Source organism: Homo sapiens, chromosome 14 (assembly GCF_000001405.40).
Source record: "Homo sapiens chromosome 14, GRCh38.p14 Primary Assembly".
Lineage (NCBI taxonomy): Eukaryota > Metazoa > Chordata > Mammalia > Primates > Hominidae > Homo > Homo sapiens.
In genome coordinates, this window is record NC_000014.9 from 62,816,279 (window position 1) to 62,840,378 (window position 24,100).

Genomic DNA, 24,100 nt, shown 5'->3' on the forward strand with positions numbered 1-24,100 from the left:
TATATCAGTGTGTATATGTATACATGTACATATATCAGCGTGTATGTGTGAAAAAATATATATATATCAGTGTATGTATGTGTAAACTGACTATGTAAAATAAAATCAGAAATCTTTCAAAGAGTACAAGCTCTTCCTTTCACTCTCCCACTATGCTGACACTTAACAAAGCAGACCCTGATCGATATGTTTTCATTTAGTAAAGCCTGTTACATTATTAGTTATAGTTGAAATAGGATAGCAATATTTGACTGAGCTTTCTGGTAAATTAAACTCTTCATTATAAGTAAAGTTTGCCTCAGGAATTTAGTCCTCTGGAACCACTGAAATAGACAAAAAAGTATAGTTATTTAAATATTTATATGCACAAGTATGCTTCCTAGAATTTTCCATGGCAGTAATGCATGCATAAATAATATATAAGAAACAACATATGCACCATAATAAATATAATTGACATATAGTAGATATAGCAAATACATATTTGACATGTAGCTGATAGGATGCTGGCTATTCCCATCAAGTGAACCATTTCCATAAGCTCTCTTCACTCTTTTTCATTCTTTTTTCTTCTCAAACCGAATATTTTCAAATGACCCATCTTCAAGTTCACAGATTCTCTCTTCTTCCTGACCAAATATGCAGTTGAATTCTCTATTGCATTTTTCACTGTGTTCATTGTATTCTTAAGCTCCAGAATTCCTGTTTGGTTCTTTTTTGTGACTTTATTTATTGAACTTCTTATTTTGTTCACGTATTACTTTTCTGATGTCTCTGAGTTCTGTGTGTGTGTATCTATATATATATTATATATTATATATAATTATATATGACATAATATATTTATTATAATATATAATATATATATACACACATATACATAATATATAATATATAATATACTATATATTATATATCATATATCATATATTATATATTATATATAATATAATACATATATTATAGTATATCATATATATATAATATATATATATACACACACACACAACTCGGAGACATCAGAAAAGTAATACGTGAACAAAATAAGAAGTTCAATAAATAAAGTCACAAAAAAGAACCAAACAGGAATTCTGGAGCTTAAGAATACAATGAACACAGTGAAAAATGCAATAGAGAATTCAACTGCATATTTGCTCAGGAAGAAGAGAGAATCTGTGAACTTGAAGATGGGTCATTTGAAAATATTCGGTTTGAGGAGAAAAAAGAATGAAAAAGAGTGAAGAGAGCTTATGGAAATGGTTCACTTGATGGGAATAGCCAGCAGGCTATCAGCTACATGTCAAATATGTATTTGCTATATCTACTATATGTCGATTATATTTATTATGGTGCATATGTTGTTTCTTACACATTATTTATGCATGCATTACTGCCATGGAAAATTCTAGGAATATATTCTATATAATAATATATATTCTAGGAATATATTCTATATAATAATATATTCTAGGAATATATTATATTCCTATATATTCTAGGAATATATATATATATTCTATATATATTCTAGGAATATATTATATATATTATATATATATAATGGACATATATATACACATACATACATATACATATAATAGCCATAAATATAAATATAAATATAAATATATATATATGGCTATTACTCAAACTGGAAAAGCATGGAATCTTGCCATTTGTGAAAACGTAGAATGAACCTTGAGGACATTGAGCTAAGTGAAATAAGCCAGATGAATAAAGACTAATACTGCTTGATCTCACCTATATGTGGAATCTATAAAACTCAAACCCATAGAAACAGGGTAAAGGGTGGCTACCAGGAGCTGGGGGCGGGGGGGGGGTGGAAGAAATGGGGAGATGTTTGTCAAAAGATACACACTTGCAGTTATAAAATGAATAAGTTCTAGAGACCTAATGTGCACCTTGTTGACTGTAATTAATAATAACTGTCACGACACACACAGAGAACAAAGGTAACTGTGTGAGATGATAGATATGTTAATTAGCTTGCTTTTGGTAGTCATTCACATATATATCAAATTCTCACATTGCACACTTTGAATACATATAATTTTTGTCAATTATACCTCAATAAAGCAGAAAAATAAAAAATAATTTTCTAACATAAAAATTTCGAAAGGTTCTAAAACCATTAAGTATGAAAAAGATAAATTAAAATCATAATAAAATACCAATACACACATCACAGTGGCTAATATGTAAAAGGATGACAATGTATCAAGTCTTGAAGAACATGTAGAACATCCAAAACCCTCGGGTATCCCAGTAGAAATGTCAAATAGCATACCACTACTCAAAACTCTTTGGTAATTTTCAATAAAACTAAACATCAACCAACACTATAACCCATCAAACCACGTCTTAGGTATATACACTAAAGAAGTGTGTAGATATGTTATTAAAAAGATATATACAAGAATTTCACAACATTTTTGTTAATAACAGCCAAAAATTAGAAGCAACCCTAATGTCTATCAGTCATATAATGAACATATAACCCCATTATATTTACAAATTAAATGCTATACACACCGTATGATTCCACTTATATGAAGATCCATGTCAAAATAATGGTTACAGGAAACAACCTAAATGCTTACCAAATAATGAATCGGTAAATAAGATACAGGAAATCCATACAAAAGAATATTCTTTATTTATTTATTTTATCTATTTATTTTTTTTGAGACGGAGTCTCGCTCTGTCACCCAGGCTGGAGTGCAGTGGCACAATCTCAGCTCACTGAAAGCTCCGCCTTCCGGGTTCACGCCATTCTCCTGCCTCAGCCTCCCGAGTAGCTGGGACTACAGGTGCCCGCCACCACGCCCAGCTAATTTTTTGTATTTTTCGTAGAGACAGGGTTTCACCTTGTTTAGCCAGGATGGTCTCGATCTCCTGATCTCGTGATCCGCCCACCTCAGCCTCCCAAAGTGCTGGGATTACAGGCATGAGCCACCGTGCCTGGCCAAGAATATTCTTTAGATATAAAAATATAAAGTACTGATTCATGCCACAATATGGATGAACTTTGGAAACAGGTCAAGTGAAGGAATCCAGTAACAAAAGACCACATATTATATGATTCCACTTATATGAAATGAGAAGAATAAACAAATCCATAGACACAGAAAATAGAACAGTGGTTGTCAGGGGTGCAGGGGAGGTTGAAATAGAAAGTAACTGCTTATGGGAATGGGAATTCTTTGGGGGATGATGAAAATGTTCTGGAATTAGATAGTGGTGATTGTTGCATAACCTTGTGGAAATACTAAAAACTACTAAATTGTACATTTTTAAATAATGAATTTTATAATATGTGAATTATATCTCAATTTTTAAAATACTGGCTACTTCAGGGAAAAGAGAAGTAATTGCCTGAACAAGGCATGGAGGAGGCTTCAGAGGACATAAAAATACTTTTTAAAATCTTGATCCTAGTAGCAGTTACATGGTATATACATATGCAAAAATTTATTAATCTGCATACTTATGACTTGAACACTTTACATGTGTGCACGTGTATATACCTTTCTATGATAAAATACATGAAAAATTATTACTGTTACTTTCTCCAACCACTAAAAATATTGACTTTAGGCAAATTTGATCAAAATTAATTTGCACTATCTGTAGAGAAGAACATCTCATGAGCCATAAGTACTTCGTTTCATTTAACAACTACATGGGCCTGGTATAGAGTGTCTACTATATGGGGGACATGTATAGGAGGTTGCATTTAAAAATGGCTCCAAAAAGTTTCCACATGCAGGTTACTTGCTTATCTCACTAGGAAGACAAGACAAATCATTGGCATTTTGCAACAGGAAGCCAGCTTCAGGGGAAAATATAGGCAGCAGCTCTGAGGGGGGTATATAAAAGGAATGCTTGGGGAACAATGAGTTGGTTTACATAGGCCAAAGCAAAGTGAAACTAATCAATTATGCAATTATTTAATTAACTTTATGAATTGTGAAACCTCTATCTTCATGTGGTTAATTCAGCTTTTCTTTATTTTTTTGTCATTCCATTAAGTAATTTATTTTGTTATATACTTTTTTTTTTTTTGAGATGGAGTCTCACTCTGTCACCCAGGCTGGAGTGCAGTGGGGGTTTGTTGTACAGATTATTTCATCAGCCAGGTATTAAGCCTAATACCCATTAGTTATTTTTCCTGATCCTCTCCCTTCACCCACCCTCCATCTTCCACTAGGCCTCAGTGTGTGGTGTTCACCTCTATGTGTCCATGTGTGCTCATCATTTAGCTCTCCCTTATAAGTGAGAACATGCAGTATTTGGTTTTCTGTTTCTGCCTTAGTTTGCTCAGGATAATGGCCTTGAGCTCCATCTATGTCCTTGAAAACGACATGATCTCATTCTTTTTTATGGTTGCATAGTATTTCATGGTGCATATGTACCACATTTTCTTTATTCAATCTATCATTGATGGCTATTTACATTGATTCCATGTCTTTGCTATTGTGAATAGTGACAATGAACATATACATGCATGTGTCTTCCTAATAGAATGATTTATATTCTTTGGGGTGTATACCCAGTAATAGGATTACTGGGTCAAATTTATATTCTTTGGGGCATATATGCAGTAATGGGATTACTGGGTCAAATGGTATTTCTGTTTTTAGGTCTTTGAGGAATCACCACACTGTCTTCCATGATGGTTGAACTAATTTACACTCCCACCAACAGTGTATAAGAGTTCCTTTCTCTCCACAACCTCACCAGCATCTATTACTTTTTGACTTTTTAATAATAGCCATTCTGACTGCTGTGAGATGGTATCTTGTTAAATTTGCAAGAAAAAAAAAACCCTTAAAAAAGCGGGCAAAGGACATGAAAAGACACTTTTCAAAAGATGACATATGTGCAGCCAACAATCATATGGGAAAAAAAAAAGCTTTTCTTAAATAACAGGTACATGATAATGATTTCTATAATTAAATATAGGGTACATTATCTTAACTAACTTTGTATCAATGCTATTGATAAGACTTGAAAACAGAACAGTAAACACTGCTAGTTGTTTACTTAGTAATATATGTGCTATCATAGTAATTAAAATGCTAGGAACCAAAAATTAGCAAACTTTTCTTATTTGCATGAGCCCATTTTGTAAACACAGGGGAAATATATTTTTTTAACTTTAAGAAATGCCTTTAAAGCTCATCAGTATTCTACATGTTAGACATCAAACTATCATCTTTTTGAAAGAGCATATTATGCTCACATTATTTAAAGGGGCTTTAGGGCAATAAGCCCTAACTTGAATTTTAGTTTATGTATTATTTACATTGCTGTCTGTCACCAATGTCTTCAGAGCTGAAAACCTTGACATGTCAGTAATATTATTTATTCAGACATAATTTTCATTATCCATAAAAATAGCCATGAATATCAGAATAAGTAAAAATATCCATGAGTAGCAAAAAAGCTGTCACAGAGTATACAGATTTCATATGTAAAAGAGACCCTCAAGCATCTCTTAAAGCCTCGAATAATTCTATCCGTCTCAAATCCTGCAAACATGATCTACTTTGTGCCCATGGCAGATCGAAGACAGCAAATTGATAAAAATGTTCCTGGAGGTGAATGTACTGATGGTAAGGAAAAACCATAGACCACAGCCTAATGCCAAAGAAATATTCAAAAAGCTAAAGCATAATAATGAACATGTGGAAACCAAAGTTAAAAACACAATAACATTTTCAATGTGTCCACAGAAAATGAAATACTTAGGTATAAATGTAATAAAATATGGACAAGAGCTGTATCCTAAAAATTACATTTGATGAAATTGATGAAAGAAATCAAGGAATTTGTGGAGAGATATACCATGTTAATAAATTGGAAGGCCTAAAACAGTAAATATGTGAATTGTCCCTAAATTAACCTTTACATTTATGCAACTCTTATAAAAATCCCAGAAAATTTTCTTTGTAGATATTGATAAGCTTATTCTAAAATTCATACATTAAGGCACTACACCTAGAAGACCTAAGACCACTGAAAAACGATTAAGGAGGAGAAATCACTCTATCCAATGTTAGGCATACCTTATAGCTATAGTAATTAAGACAGCGTGATGTTGGCAGAGGGACAGACACATAGATCGATGGAACAGGATAGAAAACCCAGAAATATACGAACACAGATATGCTCAACTAAGTTTTTACCAAGGAGCAAAAGCATTTTAACAGAGGAAAGATAGTATTTCAACCAACTGTGCTGGAGAAATTAGACATCATCTAGCAAAAAGCAAACAATCAAAAAAGCTTAACCTCAACCTAACCCTCAAACCTTACATACACATTTTCAAAAATGTATCAGGACTTAAGTGTACTACGTAAAATGAAAAAAAAAAAAGCTTTTTAGAAAAAGAGAAGAAAATATTTAGGACCAGGGCCAGTTAGAGTCCTAAACCTTGACACCAAATGTACAATCCATAAAATGAATTTTATCGATCATTTTCATAGATAGAGTAGGTACACACATTAAAAGAAATAAAAAAGAACACCAAAAATTTAATCCTTTAAAAAACCATACAGTGCAAATACTATTATCTCTATTTCACAAAGGTTAATAACACATCCATGGTCTGGGTGAATTTAAAGTCCTCTTTCTCTTTCTATAACAGCATTCCTTCTGGATACCGAAATAATAAACAGAAATTTATTCTAGGTCCAGTTGTAATGGTTGGAGGTGTACCTGACTGTAGAATCCTGGTCTAATTCAGCATGCTCTCCAGTATGGTTCTCACAACTCCACCTGGCTCTTTTGGAAACATTTCCTGAAACACCCTCAAATTGTGACCCTGGACTCCTCTGTGGAGTCCACCCTATCCTACAACACTTCTATCAATTTATAGCAACATGTCCACCTGTCCCTTGTTCCAACTTTTCTAACCTTTTGATATTATTTCTGTTCCTTGAATTGACCATTGATCTTATCCTACTCACTTCCATAATAAGTATAATCATTTTCTGCACTTAGATTATCCCTTTTCAAAAGTCAAAATTTTTCTGTTTCAGAGTAATTGAATCAGAAAGCTCATACGTTGCCCTGATATGAGGTACAGATTGTCATGCTACACCTTATTAGAACACTGAGAGATTGGGGGTATGAGTAATGGAGTCATGGTGAAATTAATACCTCTAAACACCCAGCAGTCAAATTCATGCACAGTCTCTGTTAGCAGCAGTTCATTAACTTAATTATGATCCCCAAACCACTGGCCATCCTCAACACTTCCACACTATCCATTTAACCCCTCCTGTCTTCACTTTTTGAAAGGCCAGCAGAAATTCCTATTGGTCATTATTATAAACACTTCAGATTATTCTTTCTCCATCATGTCATCTCTGATTTACTCCTTTCTGGCTAGATAACATCACATAATTCTGCTGAATGGTTTTGCTTTAAAATGATGAGTATAATCTTAAAATTGGCATTCATCATTATCTAGAATTACTATTATATTTCTCTGACATTTATGCATCCCTGCTTGTCAATATGACTATTTCATACGTTTTCCCCTTTCTTCAATCGTCCCCTAAATCTACTCATTATTTCCTCTTATTTGTTATTTAAAAACAATAGAAGCTGGCTTTCTTTCAGCTTAATGATCTGCCTTGCAGCAAACGAATCTTTCTATGCAGAGCAACTATAAACCTTGATAAAACACAAAAAGCAAAGAAAAAAACTTAAAAAAAATCTGAAAACATCAAACATACAGAAAAACATCCAGGATTTAACCAATCCCAGAGAGAAAAAAAAATTCACCAAGATGAGCCCCAAATTCTGTTTCATTGTTTCCCTATAGACTATATTTACTAATTTATAAGTGATGCAGACATAGTTTCAGATGCTGAGCAAAAATTTCAGCAGTTCAGGGCTACCAAGACAACCAATGCTTGAGATTCCAAGATTTTCAAGAAAAAGAAACCACAGAGACATGAGCAAGAGTCTGAATACTTTTCCCCTAAAGGCGTTCACTCATTCTTAAGCACCACAGGTCAAAACGTGGTAAAACTAAGCAGTTTATGGAAATCTTACTGTGCTGAAAATACAAAGTTTGGAGTTCAGGGCCTACAAGGTAAGAGGAGCATTAGTAAACAAAGTTTTAGCTGGGATTCCTGAAATATTACATGCAAAATAGAATACTTCAGTACTTCAAAAAACGCTTTTTTTTTACTTTAGCAATAAAAGTTTTATATATTGAAACATTTTTCACCTTAAAAAGAACATGCTTAATTTAAAAGTCCACAATTGTGAAGATTTATTTTTTATGATTATTACTTTATTCTTTTCTACTTTTATTTTACATTCAGGGGTACACATGCTGTTTTATTACTTGGGTATATTGTGTGATGCTGAAGTTCAGTAAACGAATGATCTTGTCACCCAGGTACTGAGCACACTATCCAATAGTTAGTTTTTCAACCATTGTCCTTCTCCCTCCCTGTCTCCTCTAGTAGTCCCCAGTCTATTGTTGCCATCTTTACGTCCATGAGTACCCAATCTTTTGTTTCCACTTATAAGTGGAAACACCTCTGGTTTTCTGTGTTAATTCACCTAGGATAATGGCCTCCAGCTGCATCCATGTTACTGCAAAGGACACGATTTCATTGTTTTTTTTATGGCTGTATAGTTTCCCATGGTGTATATGTATCACATTTTCTTTAATCCACCATTGATGGGCACTTAGGTTGATCCCATGTCTTTGCTATTGTGAACAGCACTGCAATGAACATATGGGTGTACGTGTCTTTTCAGTAGAACGATTTGTTTTCTTTTGCATATATACCTAGTAATTGAAATTGCTGGATGGAATGGTAGTTCTGTTTTAAGTCCTTTGAGAAATCTCCAAACTCCTTTCTACAGTGGTTGAACTAATTTACGTTCCCACCAACAGTATGGAAATCTTACTGTGCATATATGTATATATGTGTTTCCTGTTCTACGAAGCCTTGCCAGCATCTGTTGTTTTTGACTTTTTAATTATAGCCATTCTGACTGATGTGAAATGGTATATCATTGTGGTTTTGATTTGCATTTCTCTGATGATAAGGGATGTGGAGTATTTTTTTCATATTTTTTTTTGACCACTTGTATGCCTTCTTTTGAGAAATCTCTTACTACATTAAACTAACCGACACCTAGTCTAATTTCCTTCCAGAAGACAAAGAAAAATCTCTCTGGAGAAAGGTGACTTCATCAAGAGTCACATCACTTTTTCATATTCAGCATCTAATAAAAATTTAACAGGCAAACTAAGACAGGACCAAGAGAAAAAATAGGCAATACAAACACATCCATAGGTGATTAACATATTGAACTTGTCAGATTATTGCTTTTTAAAATATAGTCTATATATTTCCAGATGGAAAGGTTTCTCTTTCTTTCTTCATTCATTCATTCTTCCTTTCTTTTTTCTTTCTGTCTCTTTGTTCCTTTCTTTCTTTCTCTCTTACTTTGTCTCTCTTGCTTTTATCCTTCGTTCTCTTGCTCCTTCCCTTACTTCCTCCCTCCTGCCTTCCTGTTTCCCTTTTTTCTACTATAATGAGAGAACATGCTTTCATTTGTTCTGCCTAATTGAAATTTTTGAGGTTCTCGTTGTGATCAAATATACAGTTTAAAATTTCCATATTTATTTGAAAGGAACTTTATATTCTATATTATCAGAGTGCAAATTTAGGTATCTATCAATAAGCTGTAGCTTACTGACTTTAATGTTTAAGTTACCTACATCCATTCTTATTTTTGTGTACCTGACTGAAAGTGATGTCTTAAAGTATTATATTATATGGACTTAAAGTGGACTGAAAATGCTGTGTTAAAGTGTCGTATTATTTTTGTGCTATTTAAACTCTTCTTTCATCTATATTTTCTATTTTATGAAATTACAGCTATGTTATTTGTCACATATATATTAACTCCTATAGCTTCATTGTGAATCATGTTCTTTATGCAGCCAAATGCATTTTGCCAAATTTCCTTATTTATTTCATTTGCCTGGTATACCTTTACCCATCTCTTTATGTTTGGCTTTTATTATTGTTGAGATTTTGTGTGTGTGTGTGTGCGTGCGTGCATGTGTGTGTGTGTGTGTGTGTGTGTGTGTGTGTGTCAGCATTTTCAAGGATTTTCCTTTGTAAGCCAATCTAAAAATATTTTTCTTCTAATAGGTGAGTTAAGCATAACTGGTAGGTTAGGGCTAAGCTCTATCTTATATTTACTATGTTAGCATATAAATATGTATCTTTATAATATAGTTTTTTGTTCTGTTTTTTACTTTAAAAGATGTATATTGTAATGTATTTCTTTTGATATTTAAAACTTTTGTATTAAAACTTACCTACATATAACCCTTAATCTTTTTTCCTTACTAATGATATCTGTAAGATCAAGTTGATTTTCCTTCTAGTATTCATGTGGTTATCTCTTTTCTCTCCCTATTTTGGTAATTTTGTTGCATCTATTTTATCAGAGCATTTATAGTTACTTTCATCATATGTATTTTACTTTACTATTTTTTCTGTATTTTATAAAAATTTTTCATGTTTAAGGAATTTAAACATGAAACGACTTCATGAATCAGAAGTTTTAAAAAATCAGTGTAGAAATAGAAATATAGGGGGTGATCAAGATCAAAAGATACATGAAAGGAGAAAAGAAAAATAATCTTATAAATGAAGACTAACTTACAAGGTGCCCACACTATATCTTCTATTATGTAAGGAGCACAAGAATAAATATAGAAGAGTAAATGAAAAGATTCAAAAAACTTAATGCAACTAAAACATAAAAAGTTGTATAAAAGGAACAAAAATGTAATAAAGAAGACAGGTGTAAAGGCATTTAAAGACAGGTGTTTATATTTGCAAACAAATATATTCAGTGCTTACCAACAGTCTCTAGCAATGTTTCCCCAATAATATCTTGGCTGTTTCATTCTTTTACTTTGCTACCCAAAGTACGGTTTGTGAGCCAGGAGCATTGGCATCACCTTGCCTTGGTGCTTGTTAGAAACACAGATTCTTCACTCACATCTCTAGACTAATAATCTCCATTTTTAACAAAGTCTGCTTGCAATTCCCATGTGTATTAACATTTGAAAGCACTGTCATAACAGAATCATCGAAGTAAGTCTCTGAATACAATATTCCCTGAGATCATTAATATTTTTCTATTTTCTGTAAACTTTATTCATAAAGGACAGCTTGCTGAAATATAAAATTCTTAACTCACACATTTTTCTTGAGGATCTAAAAAATGTTGCTCTATTGTTGTTTTGTTGTATATATTACTATCAAGAAGTCTGTTGTCAACTTTGTCATTTTACTCTGTAAGTGACCAGGTTTTTTGTCTGATTTTATGATACTTTAAAATCAAATTGTTCTTGTAGAATATACTTTGAAGTTGATTACAACAGGTCAATTTTCCCAGGTATACAATGGGCCAGATATGTAGCTTTGGGTTTTTGTTTGTTTGTTTCAGTGATGCTTTCCTGAATTATAGTTTAGAAGTTAGTTCTGTTTTATTTCATGTTTTGATGGGCACCAACTATACACATATTGGATCTTTACACATGTCTTCTCTATTACATGTTTGCACCCTTCATACCTCTTTTTATGTTTTAGTTCCATTAATTTTTTTGAATTGCTTCATTTACTCCTCTATATTTGTTCTTATGTCCCTTACATAATATGAGACAAAATGTGGGCACCTTATAAATGAAGTCAGTCTTCATTTATAAGATTATTTTTCTTCTTTTGTTCATTTATCTTCTGACCTTGATCAGCCCCTATATTTCTATTTCTATACTGATTTTTTTGGATTTCTGACTCATGAAGTATTTTAATATTTTAAATTCCTTGTTTTTCTATATTTAATTTAATCTGTGTATTATATTAGTGTTTTGCATTATAGCTCTTTGTGGGAGATAGGCTTTCAGGTTGAAAAGTCTGATTTTTATTACCTGATTTCTTTTCTAGAATCATTATGTGAATTATTTCTATTTATGCTTACATTTTTCTTAACTAGCAATAGTTGCTGTATTAATCCATTTTCACACTGCTATAAAGAACTACCTGAGACTGGGTAATTTATGTAGAGATGAGGTTTAATTGATTCACAGTTGCACATGACTGGGAAGGCTTAAGGAAACTTGCAATCATGGCAGAAAGGGAAGGGGAAGGAAGGACCTTCTTCACATGGTGGCAGGCAAGTAAGCAAGCAAGGAGGGAACTGCCAAACACTTTTAAACCATCAGATCTTGTGAGAACTCACTCACTGTCATGAGAGAACAGCATGGAGGAAACTTCCCCCATGATCAAATCACCTCCTACAGGTCCCTCTATAACATGTGGGGATTACAATTTAAGATGAGATTTGGGTGGGGACACAGACCCAAAGCATATCATTCCATCCCTGGCCCCTCCCAAACCTCATGTCCTTCTCACATTTCAAAACACAATCACACCTTCCCAACAGTCCCCCAAAGTCTTAAGTCATTCCAGCATTAACCCAAAAACCCAAGTCCAAAGTCTCATCTTAGACAAGGCAAGTTCCTTCTGCCTATGAGCCTGTAAAATCAAAAACAAGTTACTGCCAAGATACAATAAGGATACAGGCATTGGGTAAATGCTCCCACTCCAAAAAGGGAGAAATGGGTCAAAACAAAGGAGTTCCAGGACTTTGTTTTGAAGTCTGAAGTTCAGTAGGGCAGCCATTAAACCTTAAAGCTCAAAAATAATCTCCTTTGATCCCATGTCTAACATCCAAGGCATACTGATGAAAAGTGTGGGCTCCCAAGGCCTTGGGTAGCTGTGCACCTGACGTTTTGCAGGATACAGCCCCCATAGCTGCTTTCATGGGCTGGTGTTGAGTGCCTGTGGCCTTTCCAGGGGCACAGTGCAAGCTCTCCATGGATCTACCATTCTGGGGTCGGGAGGACAGTGGCCCTCTTCTCACAGCTTCACTAGGAAGTACCCCAGTGAAGTCCCTCTGGGGGCTCCAACCCCATATTTCACCTCTGCACTGCCCTAGCAGAGGTTCTCCCTAAGGGCTCCACCCCTGCAGCAGGCTTCTGCCTAGACATCCAGGCATTTCCATACATCCTCTGAAATCTAGGGGAAGGCTCCCAAAGTTTGAGTCTTGTCTTATGTGCACCCACAGGCCCTATACCACACAGAAGTCACCAACGCTTGGGGCTTGCACCCTCTGAAGCAATGGCTCAGGCTGCACTTTGGCCCCTTTTAGCCATGGCTGGAGTTGGAGTATCTGGGATGCAGGGCACCATGTCCTGAGGCTGCACAGAGCAGCAGAGCTCTGGGCCTGGACCACTAAACCAGTTTTCCCTCCTAGGCCTTCGGGTCTGTCATGGGGGGATCTGCCCTGAAGATCTCCGAAATTCCCTGAAGACATTTTCCCCATTGTCTTGGCTATTAACATTCGGTTTCTCTTTACTTATGCAAATGTATGCACCTGAAGGCTTGAATTTCCTCCAGAAAATGGGTTTTTCTTTTCTACCACATGGTCAGGCTGCAAATTTTCTAAACTTTTATGCTCTGCTTCACTTTTAAACATAAGTTTCAATGTCAGATTATCTCTTCATGAACGGATATTACTGTATACTTTCAGAAAAAGTCAGGTCACGTCTTGAATGCTTTGCTGCTTAGAAATTTCTTCTGCCAGGTACCCTAAATCATCTCTCTCAAGTTCAAAGTTCCATACATCTCTAGGGCAGGGGCAAAATGCCACCAGTCTCTTTGCTAAATCATAGCAAAAGTGACCTTTACTCCAGTTCCCAATAATTTCCTCATCTTCATCTAAGACCACCTCAGCCTGGATTTCATTGTCGATATCACTGTTAGCATTTTGGTCAAAACCATTTAACAAGTCTCTAGGAAGTTCTAAACTTTCCCATATCTTCCTGTCTTCTTCTGAGCCCTCCAACTATTCCAACCTCTGCCCATTACCCACTTCCAAAGCCACTTCTATAGTTGCAAGTTATCTTTATAGTAGTACCTCACTCTTCTGGTATCAGTTTCCTGTATTAGTTTTCACACTGTTATAGAGAGCTACCTAAGACTGGATAATTTATGAAGAAAAAGGTTTAATTTACTCACAGTTCTGCATGCTGAGGAGGCCTCAGGAAACATACAGTCATGGCAAAGGGGAAGGTGAAGCAACGACCTTATTCACATGGTGGCAGGAGAGTAAGCGAGCAAGAGGGGAACTGCCACACACTTTTAAACCATCGGATCTTGTGAGAACTCACTCACTATCATGAGAGAACAGCATGGAGGAAACCACCCCCCGATCCAGGATCCAGTCACCTCCCAGCAGATCCCTCCCTAAGATGTGAGTATTAAAATTCGAGATGAGATTTGGGTGGGGACATGGAGCCAAACCATATCAATTGGTGATCCTCTGTGTGGCAGAAAAGGAAGAGTTAGGTCAAGGGAGGATGCAAGGGAAGATATTTTTTCTGTATATTACCAGATTTTTTTTCAAGAGCATCCTCTTACGTCACTAAACAATGCTATTTGGATCTGACTTCTGATATCCTGTTCATTAGGTTCCTTATCTAAAACATTTCCTTACTTCCTTCCCTTCCTCGCTAAGCTTCCAAGGAAAGCATTGCTTTTCCAAGGCTTTCCTTATCCCCAGAAGTGTGGCCTTCCCAAAACTGTTTCCTCTTACCCATGCATTTTCTAAGCCATCTGACTGCACAGTAGCACGTCCCTTGATCCACCGGCCTCAGTCCTGTTCTTAGTATTTTCCATTTAGGACAGGATTCTTTTTTCTGCTAGTGAACCCTGGTGGCTATTTGTTCTCCTCCATAAGTAACAAAACATCTCTCTTCCTCTCTTTTGTGTAATTTCCTCATGACTCTCAGCTCTGGTGTGAGCCTGGAAGCCTACTTTATTGGTTTGGATAGGTATTTCCCAAGGGTCAGTTTAATGTATCAAATTTGCAGTATTTTCTGTTTTCATCTGAACTGTAGCTACACTATGAAAGTGACTTTATTTGTTCCCCCTCTTAATCTGTAAATTTAGAGAAAAGATTTCTGAGCACATTTAGGCCACCATAATTAACCTATGGAAATCCAGAGGTAAGCACTGGGTTTTTTAGTTGTATTTCCCTTACTACTGCTGAAGTTAAGCTTGTTTACATGTTCATCGACCATTTATATTTCTGCATTTGAGAACTGTCTGTATCTCTTGTCTATGTTTCTATTATGTTATCCATATATTTCTTACTGATTTTCAAGAATCCTTTATGTATTGTGTTGCTAATGCTTTACTGATTTTGTATATTTCAATATGTTCTCCCAGTTTGTAGATTATTTTTTCACTTTTCTTGTAATGTGTTTTGATGAACATAAATTATTTATTTATTTTTTGAGATACAATCTCACTCTGTCATCCAGGGTGAAGTACAGTGGCATAATCATGGCTTCCTGCAGCCTCAACCTCCCTGGCTCAAGAAATCCTCCCACCTGAGCCTCCTGAGTAGCTGAGGCTACAGGCATGTGCCACCATGTCTGGCTAGTTTTTTTTCTTATTTTTTGTAGAGACAAAGTCTCACTATGTTACCCAGGGTGGTCTTAAACTCCTTGGCTCAAACAATCCTCCCACCTTGGCCTCCCAAAGTGTTGGGATTACAGGCATGAGCCACCACACTTGGCCTAAATTACTAACTTCAATAGTTACATTTATCGATATTTCTTTACCATTTAGCCCACTTGTGTCATATTAAAGCAATTTAAAACACATAATCATAAAAATCGTCTATATATTATTTTTTTAAATTACAGTAAGAATGTTTAACATGAAATTTACCCTACTATTAAACTTTTTAGCTATATAATACAGTAGTAATAATTATAAGCATAATGTTGTACAGCAGTTCTCTAGAACTTAATCATCTTGTGTAACTGAAACTTGTATGCATTGAATAGCAACTCCCCATTTTCCTCCTCTGTTTCTATGTGTTTGACTACTTTAGATACCTCAAATAAGTGGTATCATGCGGTATTTGTCCTTTAATGATTGGTTTATTTCACTTAGCATAATGTCCTCAAGGTTTATCTTTTTGATCATCTATGGCAAGATTTCCTTCTTTCTATAGATGAATTATATATCGTTGTTCGTATTTAGCAGATTTTCTTTTTCCACTTATCCATTCATGGGCATTTAAGTTGTTTCCACATCTTGGCTACGGTGAATAATACTAAAATGATCATGGAAATATAAACATCTGATATTTTGAGTTCGATTCTTTTGGATAAATACCCAGGAGTGGGATTGTTAGATCATATAGTGGTTCTATATTTTAATTTTTTGAAGAAACTCCGTCCTGTTTTCCATAGCAGCTATATCATTTTTACATTCCCACCAACAATATATAAGCATTCCAGTTTCTCTATATCCTTGCCAACACTTGTTATATTTTCATTTTTTGGTAATAGCCATCCTGGCAGTTGACAGGTAATATCTCACTGTGGTTTTGGTTTAAATTTCCCTGATGATTAGTGATGTTGGGCACCTTTGCATATACTTGATGTACCTGTCAGCCATTTGTATGTTTTCTTAGGAGAAATGTTTATTTAAGTCCTTTGCCCATTTTTAAATTTGGTTATTTGTGGGTTTTTGCTATTGAATTGATAGAGTTTCTTATCAATTTTGGGTATTAACCCCATATCTGATTTATAGTTTATACATATTTTTTCTTATTATATAGGTTGCTTTTTCATTCTGTTAATTGTTTCGTTGGTCCTACAGAAGTTTTTTAGTTTGATGTAGTCCCACTATTCTCTGTTTTTTTTGGTCCCCTCACTATCTAGTTTTGGTTTTGTTGATTTTGCTTTTAGTGTCACATTCAAGAATCATTGTCAAAACCAATGTAAAGAAGATTTTCTCATATGTTTTCTTCTAGTAGTTTTAGTTTCAGGTCTTATGTTTAAGTCTTTAATCCATTTTGTGTTGATTTTTATGTATAATATAGGGGTTTAAGTTCATTATTTTGAATATGGATATCCAGCTTTCCCAATACCATTTATTTAAGAGGCTATCCTTTCCCCACTATGTACTACTGAAGCTTTTGTCAACGATTAGTTGACCGTATGTGCATGGGTTTATTTATGGTCTTTCTATTCTGTTCCATACATCTGTCTGTATGCCAGGACCATACTGTTTTAATTATTCTAGTTTGTAAAATATTTTGAAATCAGTAAGTGTAATGCCTTTAGCTTTGTTTTTCTTTCTCAAGATTGCTTTGGTTATTTGGAGTCCTTTGGGGTTCCATCGTTTTTTCTACTCTTATTTTAAAATGCCACTTTTTAAATAGTTAATTCTTAAAGTTCAGAATTGATTGATGTGGTGTAAAGGAGAGATCAAACTAATTTTTGCCCATACAGGTAAATATTAATCCTAATAACATTCATTAAATGTTTCCTTCTTTCCCCACAGATCTAAATTTGCCTGTCTTTATCATATATAAAATCTCCACGTATGTATGAGGTTATTTTTAGAATCATTATCTTGTGCCATTATCATATGTCAGTTTGATGGTCCCTTTGACCAAGTCCCACTGTCTTAATTACCTTACATTACTCCTTACCTCACTCCAGTGTTGCATCTGTCTCTACTACTCTAACAAATCTGCCTGTATCAAATCCACCAGTAATCTCCATGTTGTAAAATCCAAATGGAACTTTTTTACGTTTTACTTTATTTATCTTTTAGAAGACTGCAAGGCAGTTTTTCATTTTCTCTCGTGGCTTTTATAAAATCAAACAATTCAGCTTTTCATCTAATATCACCAGCCACTCCTGAGTATCCTTTCTGGCCTTTTCTCATCTACTTAACATCTAAGTGTACAAGTACCTCAAAGCTCGATCTTAAGCTCTTTTCCTTTTCCTAGCTAGAATGTCATTTTGAGTGATCATAACTACCTATTCATGGCCTTATTAATGGCTCCAAATTTATGTGTCTTTCTGAACTCCAGAATTACATTCACGGATATAATAAATATTTATTGAACACATCCCACTTACCAAACACTAATCTAGGCAATAATTATTCAGCAGTGAACAAAAGATACAAAACTCCCTGCCCCCATGGACTATTTATTGTACTAGAGGGACAATTAACAAAGAATATATAAGTGAACTTCTGTATCATACTTCAGATTTTGATGAGCCTCATGAAGAAAACCAAGGCAGGCAAGGTACATAAGAGTTTTGAGATGATGATACTGTAATTTTTAAATAGGATAGAAATCTGACAATTGGACTAGAGATCTAAAAAGTCTTAAGTGGAGGTCAGCAAACTCTGAAGGCCAAATTGGACTCATCATCGGTATTTGTACAGCCACTGAGTATATAATGGTTTCTATGTTTTTAAATAGTTATCAAAAATCAAAAGAAAAAATAACATTTAATGGTATGTGAGAAAAAATGGAATTCAAATTAATACGTCCACAAATAATGTTTTACTGGGACACAACAATGTTCAATTATTTACATACTGTCTATGGCTCCTTTCATGCTTCTATGGCAAAGTTGAGTAGTGGAGGCAAAGACCATATAACCCATAAAAGCTAAACTGTTTACTATCCGGCCCTTTAGAGAAAAAATTTTCTGATCCCTCATCTTAACGAATATACTCTACTGCTTGCAAACAAAAAGCTTCACATGATAAAGGTCTTTTTGAATTCAATATAATAAGAAAATAAACAAATCTTTAGACAAATGTGTTTATTTCTTTCAGTAGACTAAAGAATTTCACTTTTTAATTCAGCTTCCAAAAGACTCGAAAGCTCAATACAACCAAGCTCAGTAACAACGACATTCCAGGTGGCTGGACACCTCTATTGTGTTTAACCATTTACCAACATGTGTATGTGTAAATGTTGATGTACATGGGTTTTACTGTCTTCTTTTTACATTGATTTTCATTTTATGAGAAGCCTATAATTTTGTGTGAAAGTCATTACAAATACAAACATAAGGAAGAGTTATATTTGGTGTATTATTTTAAGAGGTCATTCTTAAAATTGTAATGACCCAACTGCTTTTGTCTCTTATAGGATAAAAAATTATGAGATTAAACAAGTACACATCTAAGTTCATGAGGAAATTCATTGCTCCTCCATGATGAAAATATTACCCAATTAATGTAATACATAATATTCTTAGGAATACTTTAAGAAAAAATATGTAATATCATAGCCTTTTAAAAAGATTCTTTAAAAGTTGTAGATGGAAGTGTAAGCTTTAGTCAATTTGAAACTTTACTTCAAATATTGACGGCATAACTGATGCCTTGACACTAACATTCACATTTTTTTTATTTAGTAAGTAAAGGTCATAACATTAAGATGTGGGTTTCTCTGCCAGCTCTTCTGATCTCCTATAAAATACCTTAAAAAATAAAGTTACAAGAAACAAAAATTAGACTGAAGGGGTTTTTGTTTGCTTGCTTGCTTGTTTTGGTTTTTTTTGTTTTACTTTTGCTACGTTTCAATTTTTTATGATTGCCCTCAAAAAAAACGAAATAAATGAAATTCTTCCTCTGTACATTTGTAGGATGATTTCATTACAAGAATTTTTTTAAAAAGATAAATTTAATATCAGGAATATTCTAGAATTCTGCCGAATTTAGATTACAGAACAGGTCTTTTTATTGTATATATGTGTTCTATGTAAATAACAAGCTTGACACCAGGCCTATTATTAATATATTCACTTGGTGCTTTCTTACAGGAGTACTGTGTGGTTCTTGGCTTGACTAAGATCCCATGATTCTCTGCAATCTATTCATTAAAGTGATAAGTTTTTAAGGGAACTTATATGCTTAAGGAATTTCAGAAAATAAAATTTGTATATATTTTTGAAATGTACCTGTACAAATGAAAGCAGGTTTTCCTAAGACCAATACCAGAAAAGTACAATAACATTTTTTAAATATTAGAAAAGCCTAGTATTAATCTGATATTCATCCCAAGTCAGGCAACATAAGCTCACTAAAATTCCAAGTTTCATTGTTCCTGGTTGTCACTATACCAATTCAGTTCAGTAAAATTACATATCCCTTACCAATTAATAAAAACAAAAACAAAAATTACAATCATAGCTATTATTTGGCTTCAGAGTACTTGCAAAGTAGTAAAGATCACTCTAATTATAACATATTCGTAAGGATTCAGAGATTTCAATATATCCCAAAGCACAGTATGTTTAGGGATAGTGTATTTACTCACTATTCTCAATGCAGGCAAGAGCCATCCTTCTCTATGTTAAGAAAGAAAACCAAAGTTAAAAGGATAAAAGAATCTCCTCTTTCACCTAAAATACTAACAACTGCATAAGCATTTTAATTTTTATTAGGGAATTGAAAAAATATTAATTATTTATGCAATTATTTTTATCTGTCTCCTCTACTAGATTGTAAGTTTCATGAGGGCAAGGACCATGCCTATCTTGGTCACAGGTGCATCTCCAGTGCCTGATGTACTGCCTGGAACATACGGGGCATGGAGTAGGTGAGTGATTTAGGGCAGAGGGCATAAAGTTTGAAGTCAGAATCCTAAAAATCAGAATCAAACTTTGACTCTACCGTTTATTAGGTGTATAATCTTGGATAATTTATTTATTTTTCAGAATCTCCTTATTGTTTAAATGGAGACTATAACGCCTGCCACATAGGATGTTTGTGATCATTACAGGAACTCAGGAATATATAACACTAAGAAGTGCTTAGAGATGGGCACAGTCCCTAAATGTGTGTTCCCTTACCCTCTGACTCTTGGTCTGCACTCTTCCAGGTGGCCCACACCTGAAGGCCAAGTGTCTCTTTGTGTAACCACAAAATAGTGCCAGGAGGTCAAAGAAAGTAAAAATGTACTTGTTCAGTCCTACTAGACTGTGAGTCCTGCGTGGCAGGAACTGCCTCATATCCACCACTGTCATTCCAGAGACTGGAACAATGTCTTGAATGTAAGCAGGGGCTTAATGGACATTTACTATTAAATACTGAAATGGGGAAGTATATCTTTCAAGTAAATATCAACACATACATCAATATCTACCTAAATATTTGTGAATTCTTGGTTAAACTTCCGGTCAGGCCTCAGCTTTCAGCATAAAAGAATTTTACCTCCTTTTACAATTTTCCATGTTTTCCTCTAAGCATAAAATATTTTATTACATAGTAAATAAGCCATCATTAAATCAAAATTTCTCTAACAGAAAACTTAAATGATGATGAAGCATTAATCCTTAATAGTAAAAATGATTTGAAGTTTGAGGTTTGGAGTTTTGTTTGCTTCCCTGTTATATGGAAGGACAGCACTCAAGTGTATTGAGAATGGCTGAATAAATGAACTACTTCTGATCATACTGTCTTCTATGATTTATCAAATTATATGAATCAGTAAAAACATTGTAAAATTATGTGACAGTTGATTTTACTACTTTACCAGGCACTCTGAAACCAAATAATAACTACCAGATTAAACAAGTGAAGTCTCTACGGATGTACTGACATTTCAAATTGTGTTATTAGACAAGAGGGATCTTAATTGAAACAGGTGGATGTAACACTGGGAGTTGGGCTGGGTTGTTTCTCATTTAACAGTGACTGGTTTTCCCTAGGCAGGCTGCTTCCCATTAACTTCTCATTTATTATCAAGATGAAGTTTGATACAAGGGTTACAATATTAAACTACTGATTTAAATTATGTCTTCTGACTTCTTCCTTGGCACCAAAAATCACTAATATTTCTCACTAACTCTTTCGAAACATGCATTTAATTTTCAACCTTAAAAATCTTGGAAAAGATCATCAAGCATATATATTCTGAGACTAAGTCTGATTGGTCATCCAGCCGGAATACAGGAACTAGCCTAGAAGACATGTTAACTAGAACAGGAGACTCCCTACTGCTGGTGCAGTATTTTATTCATCATATTCCAACTGCACTACCTCTGATTCATACTCACACTGTGGAATCCTTTGGTTTTCATGCTGGTTTCTAGGAGTGGAATCTCTAACCCTGCATTAGATAATCTAGGTCCAAGGTCTCTAATTGTTTCTCATAAGCCCATCATGCCCCATCTAAGCAACCTGAACTTGTTTTCAGATGGTCTCTGCTGAATGGTTGAACTCTGAGATTAGGACAATACAATTTCAGTCAAAAGCTAATGGGATTTATCTGGGGTGCGTAGTATGAAGATGAGTGGGAAGGATAAGGAAAGTTTATTTAGAAGAATAAACACATTGAAAAGAGCCATAATTAAGGTGTGATAAGGAGACACTTGTCTACCAGATACTGATATTCAACAAGCAGCAGAGTGACTAAGAACATTGCCTTTACAGTGCAGACATAGTACAAAATCCAAGTTTCCCTGTGTGTGATCTAAGCCACGTCATTTAACCTCTTACAGCCCAGTGTCTGTATCAGTAAATGGGAATAATTATAGTATACATGTGTTGGAAAGAGTAAACATTAAACATGCTAAGATTATTGGCCTTCTGAATTCACAAAGATTAAAAGAAAATTAATACCTAGTACTGACAATGTTATTCTGAAAAAAGACATATGTAAATTAATGTTGGTTGTAGCTCATTTGATACTTTAGAAGAAATAAGCTACAAAAATAATAAAAACAAAAAAATGTACATAACCTTGGACTTGGCACCCCTTATTCTCAGTGTTTATCTTAATGTACTCATTAGACATCTTAAATATTCAATAATATGTGGATGATGTAATACAGACATAGAATAGACTACAAATGTTATTATATTGTATACTTATAACATAAATTGATGTTTACAAAATCATACAGATAAATGTGGCACAATATACTTCTGTAAGTCGTAGCATTATGAGTGACATCATATTTTCTTTTTCTAGCTCTTTTTTCTAATTTTATGTAACAGTCATGTATTCAACTAAACAAGCACTTTTGAAAACAAAATGGTTATATAAATATTAACACTTATTCATAATAAATAATATATTCTAACATTTATTTATCCTTGAGAGAAGTAGTAGTGGGAGTAAAGCTATACCCTGATCTGAATATATTCTGATATTTGCCCTGCAGACTCCCCTGTGCCATCTGTGCTGTCACAATACATATGGGTTAAGTCTGTGGATAATGCCCTCAAAGGCAGCAGACCCACATATTTATTTAGCATTATTCTAAACAAATATGTGATGATTAGTTCAATCATATTTGGGTACCAATATGTTCCTGGATCAATTTACGTGTTGTTATTGGTATTAGAGTAATATTTTAAACCATCATGACTATTCAGTGGAAATCATTCTATTATTTACATGGAACACACAGACCATTTAATATTATTAATTTATTTAATGAGTTATTAGTAGTTAATAGATTAACTAGGTATTTGAATTCCCTCCTTACATTTGTTTTCCACCTTCAGACCAGTTATTTGACTGTTAGCACACAGGTAATTTGAATTTTATTATAAAATAGGTGAAAAGTTTCAGCTTCTAACAATCTTTCACGTCCAAATTCTATTGTTTTTTTCTATTACTTTCCTTGACTCTCATCTTCACAACTTAAATGCAGTCTCTCCTTTTTTAAAATCTGACATGGCTTCCTGTATTGTATTTCAAGCATCATCACAATATAAAATCATATGTTTATCAGGGTAACTATTGAAGATTTTTCTCCCCCATCAGACTCTGAACAACATAAGAGCAGGGATTATGTTTATTTCTATTTATCACTCTATAGCAAGGACCACAAAACCCTCTAATACCATAGTTTCCTTCCATATGAATGCAAATTTTAAAAATGGCTATGTCCATATTTTTAAATTCTCCCATTATATAGATCTTTCTTAAATTTATATATGCCATCTCTCAGAGATGTCCCAGTATAAACTAGGGACATAAAGACTTCCTCAAGGAAGTATAAGGTATAGAGAAATAAGGAAGGTTGCTATTATGAGAAAAGAAGAAAATGCCTCCTGAAGGTCTTAAGAAAGAAGTCAAGAACCATAAAAAGCAA

The 24,100-nt window shown here is 34.2% G+C and overlaps 1 protein-coding gene across 3 annotated transcripts in view; it reads right to left on the minus strand.

Moving 5' to 3' along the window:
• KCNH5 (potassium voltage-gated channel subfamily H member 5) overlaps positions 1-24,100 on the minus strand; it is a 345,995-nt gene that overhangs the window by 116,815 nt on the left and 205,080 nt on the right. The gene's annotated exons all lie outside the window — the stretch shown is intronic.